Consider the following 7412-nt stretch of genomic DNA (forward strand, 5'->3'; position numbering starts at 1 on the left):
GCTGTCCTGTGCATCTGCTTCAGACTCACATCCAAACAGTAACGGGAGCTCAGTAGAACCCACAGATATTCATAGTTATGTACTTTTCTGTCTTATTCCTTAGCTATAAAATAGTTGACAACCACACCAGACATCAAACCTTGAGGAAATGCAGAATCGAGAAGGAGCCAGGCAGGCTCAGTTTTTTAACTGAGTCAATGCAACGGAAAACAACGTTGGTAAATGTCTGGGAGACCCGCTTAGATCAGAAATAAGTATTTCTCCCTGAATGGGTCACATGGCAACCCCAATGCAGAGGCTGGAAGTGGCTTTGCAAAGATGGGGAAAGAAGAGAACTGCAATGTTCAGAAGCAAAATCCTCAATGTTGCCAACTCTCAGAATGTGAGATGCCTTTTATACCATGTGAGCTTACTTCCCACTGGCCTTTGCCAAGATATGCACTTAGTGTTTCCCTTACATACAGAAATAATATCTGACCTCACCTACCTTTCAGGAACTTCCTACATATAATCAGATATGGTCAGTTCTCATTATCTGCGGATTCTTTATTTGCAAATGTGCCCACTCTCTAAAATTTATCTGTAACCCCAAAATCAATACTTGTGGCCCTTTTGCAGTCAGTGGAGGACATGCACAGAGCAGCAGAAAATGAGTCACCAATGCTCTCGCTCCCAGCTGAGGCCATGCAGGGTGACACACAGCCTTCTCTCAGCTGTCAGACTCCAAACAAGTGTCCTTTCCCCATCTGTTTAGTGCTGTTGCAGACTTCACTGTTTAAAACATCCCCAAGTGCGGTGCTGGAGCACTGCCTGGTGTAGAGAAAACACGCATGTAGAGAAGCTTCGTTCAGCACAAGCTACAGTGCTGCTGGCCCTGAGTTCAATGCTAATGAATCAACAGTAGATACTAAATAAAGCATCTTCAAACAAAAACACACACTAAACAAAATTATATATTGACTGGCTGATGAAACTGTTGTGACTGGAGGCTCTCAGGAACCTGAACTTGTATTTCCCCTAGGAGCAATGGCTCCAGATTCACTATTTCAGTGTTGGCTACAACTTCATAGAGCAGAATTACCCCCATAACAATTGTTGGTAGTGCGCATTTTACATAGATGCATAAAGACATGTGTTTGTGTTATGCAAACGTGTGGCCTTCGTTACATGGAAGGCCTGTGGCTCAGAGCATGGATGAATTCCTCTGTAGAGATAAGGAAGGAAAGCATGGGTTGAGCTGGGGGCTGAATGGCCGGCCCTGAGCCTCCACCAGGGCCCCTTCCTAACAAGTCACTAAAAAAAGAACAGGAAAAATGCCCTGCAAAGCTTTTAGAACAGTCCTAACTGTCCTCATAAGGATCCTTACACACACACACACACACACACAGCACCTGCAGCTCACTCTAATTCCTTAGACCACTTAGAGATTTCACATACGTGCAAAAGAATATTTGTCCTTTGCCTCAATTTTATTATAGTCCTTAAATTCACTAAAACACCCAAGGTAAGTGTTTCCTTCACTAAAACACCCGAGGTAGGTGTTTCTCAGTGAACTTCCCGGCGCCAGGGTTTTCAGGTGTCTGTGATCCCATAATTGGCAATTAAGTTTGCTTTTGGTAACCAGTACCCGGCCGTGCTGCTTCAGTCCCCAGCAGTTGCACAGATGGATGGATAGATGGATGGATGGCCTCTTCTTAATTTGACCAACCACTTGATTCTTTGGCTTCTCACAGCAAAAATTAAGGTGTCTTCTCTTCAGTAATGAGGACAAAGCTGGGCTTAACAATGATGAAACAGCATTCATGCTGTGCTTATTCTTTAACCATTTAAATGAGATTATTCCTCTTGCTTGAACAAGGACCTGCATTTTAATCCCATCTTCCACAGAGAGCCATCTGATAGCTATTTGGTGCAATGAAGATTTGAACTAAAAAATAAAAATAAATTCTCCATTGTCTATCACTCAAATCTGCAAACTCCAATGGAAAGGCTATTTGGAGAATAGAGTCTTTGGAATTATCCACCCAAAAGGGCTCACTACCAACAGGATTTGTAGTGGTTAGTCTTACTTTGCTTCAGGTTTCCTCAGCTGTTCCCAGTATGAGAATGTGGGCATGAAGAAGTGGTCATTACGGAGAGACAAACTCCCCGAGAGTAACTACGGCAGACAGCAATCCTGATGGCCATCACTGTCACATCAGCAGAAACTCGCTTTTAAGGATCTCACACCACTTCACAAACAGGAGCTGAGACAGCCCACAGAGGACCCCACTCAGAGGACCCCACACTGCACCTAAGATCCTGAGCCTTACCCAATCTCCCAGGACTCGGAATATCACACAAATCACAACGATGCATAGCATACCCCCTTCTTGTGATGGCAGTGGGGCTATTTATAAGGTACCTCAATATTCATCAGCTTGTCAGTGTGACTTCCTGTAAAGCTCTTACTTCTGAGATGAAATTATTTTCTCAATAACTAACAACACAAAGGTAGATAATATGCAGCTAAATCAACCCAACCCAGTAGCGCACATGCACACACCACACACATGCACACACCACACACATGCACGCACACACATGCACACACCACATGCATGCACACAAACATGCACACACCACACGTATGCACTCACCACACACATGCACACACACATGCACACACCACACGTATGCACACACCACACGCATGCACACACACATGCACACACCACACGCATGCACACACATGCACACATACGTGCACATTCACACCACATGCATGCACACACACATGCACACACCACATGCATGCACACACATGCACACACCACACGCAAACACACATGCACACACCACACGCATGCACGCACACACACATGCACGCACACACGCACACACCACATGCATGCACGCACACACACCACACGCATGCACACACACATGCACACACCACACACATGCACACACATGCACACACCACACGCATGCACACACACATGCACACATACGTGCACATTCACACACACCACATGCATGCACACACACAGGTGCACACATATGTGCACATTCACACATACACAGGCCCAGACACTACATGCACACACACACATGTGCATGCATATTCACACACTTATTGGCCAGAGTTGAGTCAGATGCTTTCAAAAATTGTCCTGGCCAGATGTGGTGGCTCCTACCTGCAATCCCAGCACTTTGGGAGGCCAAGGCGGGAGGATCATTTGAGCCCAAGAGTTCAAGACCAGCCTGGGCAACATAGCAAGACTCCGCCTCTACAAAAAATACAAAAATTAGCCAGGCCTGGTGGTGCAGGCCTGTAGTCTCAACTGCTTGGGAGGCTGAGGTGGGAGGATGGCTTGTGCCCAGGAGGTCATGGCTGCAGTGAGCTGTGACTGTGCCACTGCACTCCAGCCTGGATGACAGAGCAAGACCCTATCTCAAGAAAAAGAAAAAATTGTCCTGAGAAATGGGACTTCTAGTAAGAAACGTTTTATGTATAATCTTAACTTTAAAGGGCACATGAGTGGATCAAGACGGCGCCACCTCAAAATTGCCTGTACCGCTTTTTCCATCACTTTTTGTCACTGCCTAGAACTGCTTCTGAAACAACGCCCTGTACCTGGACAGCACCTTGGAGTCCAGAACACAGCAGCGCGTGTTACGGGAAGCCTGAGAAAATGCAGCCATCCAGGAGCAGAATCGCCGAGCCCCCGGCGGCTTGGTGACCGTGATCCAGTCCCGGGCAGCGTCCTGACATAGTCGTACTTCACTAACGGTTTGAGCCACCAGGTACTGTGACACACGCCATCTCTCGGGGAAAGGGAAAGAGCCCACAGTAGTTATCTGGGAGCTTAAGCCAGCTTTAAGCTTTACTTATGAAGTGTTATCCTGACAGGTACACAAATTCTTCAACCTGAGAATTGTTCCAGAATTTCATTCATAAAAACAGTGGTCCCCAACCTTTTTGGCACCAGGGACCAGTTTCATGGAGACTGGGTTTCCATGGATGGGGAGCAGTGCGGGTGGTTTCAGGATGATTCAAGCTCATTACATTTATTGTGTACTTTCTATTATTATTATTACACTGTAACATATAATTAAAATAATTCTACAACTCACCATAACATAGAATCAGTGAGGGCCCTGAGCTTGTTTTCCTGCACCTAGACGGTCCCATCTAGGGGTGATGGGAGACAGTGACAGGTCATCAGGCATTAGATTCTCATGAGGAGTGCACAGCCTGGATCCCTCACATGCGCAGTTCACGACAGAGTTCGCGCTCCTATGAGATTCTAATGCCACCGCTGATCTGACAGGAGGTGGAGCTCAGGTGGTAATGTGAGTGACAGGTGGCGGCTATAAATATAGAGGAAGCTTTGCTCACTCACCCGCCGCTCATCTCCTGCTGGGCCACTGGGTTCCTAGCAGGCCATGGACCAGTATGCATCCATGGCCCAGGGGGTGGGGGACCCCGGAATAAAAGAATTTGCCAAAGATTTGCATTCAAGGAAACATACCAAAGCCCGCTATGATCCTAGACCCTTACAGCTGGATGCAACTCTTGGGGACCACCTGCCCAGCCACCTCAGAGGAAGAGGACAAGGCTGGAGCCACGCCAGCAGGTGCACCTGAGCCCTGCACCCCTTACCACTGTGGGGCTCTTCGGGGAGGATAAGGTCGGAGTTCCTGGGCACAGAGCGGCAGTTGGCTCAGAAGCCATTCATGCAGCAGGGTGGGATTCTAGGCTGAAGGCAGTGCAGCTCCTCTAATCAAAGCCCACTATCAGCAGAAAGAGAAGGTTCACAGACACAGCAACCTGTGAACCATGCACCACCCCCATGCAAATAAGCAGAAAGCTATCCGACTGTCGAAAGGAAAATTATAAACAAGGTCATTTTAAAGTAGTGTTTAGTCATGTGTTTCAGTGAGCTGCTCAGAATATTGGGCCACTTTCAGGAGGAAGAGAGGAATCTCCCTGCACAGAGGCCCCACACGCCAAGGGAGCCGGGTCCTGCGTGTAGAGCAGGGCGGGCTGTGGGCTCCTGGTGCCTGTGGGCACAGCCCGCTCCCTCCCGGCCCCCCTTCTCCCACCTCCTCCCTGCAGGCACAGTGTCTGCACAGCTGCTGAGACCCACGCTCTTGCTTTCGGTCCTGAAACCCACCAGCATGTGCCACTCAGGACCAGGCAGAACATCTCCCTGTCTGGACACCCCCACACCCCAGGAAAGGGTCACTCCATCCTTTCGCTCCACCAAACCAAGTATCTTTATTGTCACACGTGCCCACTTTACCAACACTTTCCACTTCTCCCTCTCTTTTAGACCATCAGCCCCTTGAGAACAGGGACTGGATCCCACTTGTTCCTGTGTTTCCAAGGGCAGGGCTGTGCCTGACACATAGTGGGCACTCAGCAAATGTTTATGGAAGGCATTAGGGCACGGATTAACCAGGTAATTTGGTTGATCTGTGGGGGCACACGACCAGCTGGCTGGAAAACAAGGAGCCCTGTTTATGACCCAGGTTAGTCATTAATTCAACAGTATGACATTTCTACATGGATAGTTAAAGGACTGCTCTAGATACTTAAAGGATTAACGTCAGAATAAGATTTAAAAAGAAAAGAAGTGAAAAAGAAAGGAAGGAAGGATAGAAAGAAGGAAGAAAGGGAGGGAGGGAGACAGGTTACATTATTCGAAACCTTAAAATCTAACAGCAATAAGTAATTACCTTATGAACTATGTGGATCCTGAACTTAAGATATTTACCGTATACCTCCTTCTGAAATATGCCTCAGATATGAGAAGGGGAAAGAAAACGCTGCTGCATGGAAAGCCTACGTAAGAAAACGATAAACCAGGAATAACCATGCGCACTGCAAAGGGATTCTATTCCCCAAAACAGTATTTATCTCTAAGTTCTTTTAAAAGTATGTCTAAGCTTCCTGAGTAAATAGGGAATTCAAAGCACCTCTTGTTTAAATGTGATTTTTGCACGCAGCTCCCCGGGAGCAGGTCCAGTGCCCTGGGCACCACACAAGCTCTGGGGCCCTGACCCGACCTGCCGGGCCTGCGACCCCTCTGCTGCAGAGGAGTGGGAGAGGAAGCCCCAGGGGATGGAGAAGGCCTGGCTGGCTGTGGCTCTGCGCCCGCCTCCCTTTCCTCCCGACCCCTGGGCCAGCGTGGCCATGGCTCTGCGCCCGCCTTCCTTCCATCCGGCGCTGACTCCTTCTGGAACCATGCCGGTCGCTGCCCTGTTCTCTCGCACACACGCAGATCTCTTTGCGATTCCACTTGCCTGGTGGTGTTTCTTTACTCAAAGGCCTGGCTCCTATTGCCTGCAAGGGAGATAAATACCAACTCTGAGGGCGCAGTTTGAAAATCGGCCTCATTTCATCTGCCATTGGGAAGCTAATGATGTTTCAAAGGTGTGTCGTGGCTCGAGTTTTAGCAACCAGATACAGTTGCAGAAAACAATCCTCCGGACTCAACTCAACAACTTCCTGAAGACGTGGCTTTTCTCTGATTTGTGCAGCCTGCTGTTGGCTTCTGTCATACACCGCGTTTCAGTAACGTAAATTACTGGATTCCACATGCCAGTCAGATATTTTAACAGGATGGATCAGCCTCTCCTTGCGAGGAAAAAGTGCTAAATTTGGAAATCCAGAGCTGTTTGGTCTTCAGATGATATCCATGACATAGAATAAAGTACTTAAAGCCTCGTACTTTACAGCATTGCTAATTTTCAGAATGGAAAAATTCTGTTTTAAAAAAAAAAAATCCAAGATTCACAGAGGCCTTGTGGAAGCTGAGAGCTCACCACCCACTGATCCCACATTTGATCAGCTGGTTGTTGTCCCCACGCTCACCCCCACCCCTGTCAATTACTGCACTGGTGCAGTAAGGAGCCTCCCTTCCATAGGAGCAGCGGTTCACTCAAATCACTTTCGACGAAGTCACAGGTTCACAGAGGTTGTCCATTGGAAGAGGAGTCCCGTCTAGGGCTCACCATGGCCATCACTGCCCAGGACCTCTAGGAGACAAAGAATTGCATTTTTAAAAATCTAGTTAACATATCAAAGAGCAGTGAATGTGCAAATTGCTGTCATAAGGATTCCTTTATTGCTTTCCTTTCCCCAGGCCCCCCACCCTCCCATCCGCTCCAACAAAGTGACTCATTGGAAAGAAGAGCCGCTTTTACGTTCTTTAGATGTTTACCTTCAGTAAAAGACACTTCAAAGGGCGCTCACGGGACTCTCCCCTTGCCCGGCAAACACTTAAGCCCCATTGCTGCGAATGATGGTGCCTCTCTCCAGATCATTCACGTAAGCAGCAGCCGGATTCTTTGGAGGCAGCTGTTTTCCTAATGGGCTCGCAGCTCACGGGTGGCCTGGCTGGGCACGGCTTGAGAATGAG

General features: G+C 48.1%; 3 annotated features.

The window, feature by feature from the left end:
* Window positions 2294–2795: an enhancer, noted in NCBI's record as "H3K4me1 hESC enhancer chr18:76569491-76569992 (GRCh37/hg19 assembly coordinates)". NCBI's record gives its function as "activates a minimal SCP1, AML or CMV promoter by ChIP-STARR-seq in naive and primed H9 embryonic stem cells {active_cell/tissue: H9 hESC(naive and primed)}" and the evidence as "EXISTENCE:reporter gene assay evidence [ECO:0000049][PMID:30033119]".
* Window positions 2796–3295: an enhancer, noted in NCBI's record as "H3K4me1 hESC enhancer chr18:76569993-76570492 (GRCh37/hg19 assembly coordinates)". NCBI's record gives its function as "activates a minimal SCP1, AML or CMV promoter by ChIP-STARR-seq in primed H9 embryonic stem cells {active_cell/tissue: H9 hESC(primed)}" and the evidence as "EXISTENCE:reporter gene assay evidence [ECO:0000049][PMID:30033119]".
* Window positions 6106–6616: an enhancer, noted in NCBI's record as "H3K4me1 hESC enhancer chr18:76573303-76573813 (GRCh37/hg19 assembly coordinates)". NCBI's record gives its function as "activates a minimal SCP1, AML or CMV promoter by ChIP-STARR-seq in primed H9 embryonic stem cells {active_cell/tissue: H9 hESC(primed)}" and the evidence as "EXISTENCE:reporter gene assay evidence [ECO:0000049][PMID:30033119]".

Source organism: Homo sapiens, chromosome 18 (assembly GCF_000001405.40).
Source record: "Homo sapiens chromosome 18, GRCh38.p14 Primary Assembly".
NCBI lineage: Eukaryota > Metazoa > Chordata > Mammalia > Primates > Hominidae > Homo > Homo sapiens.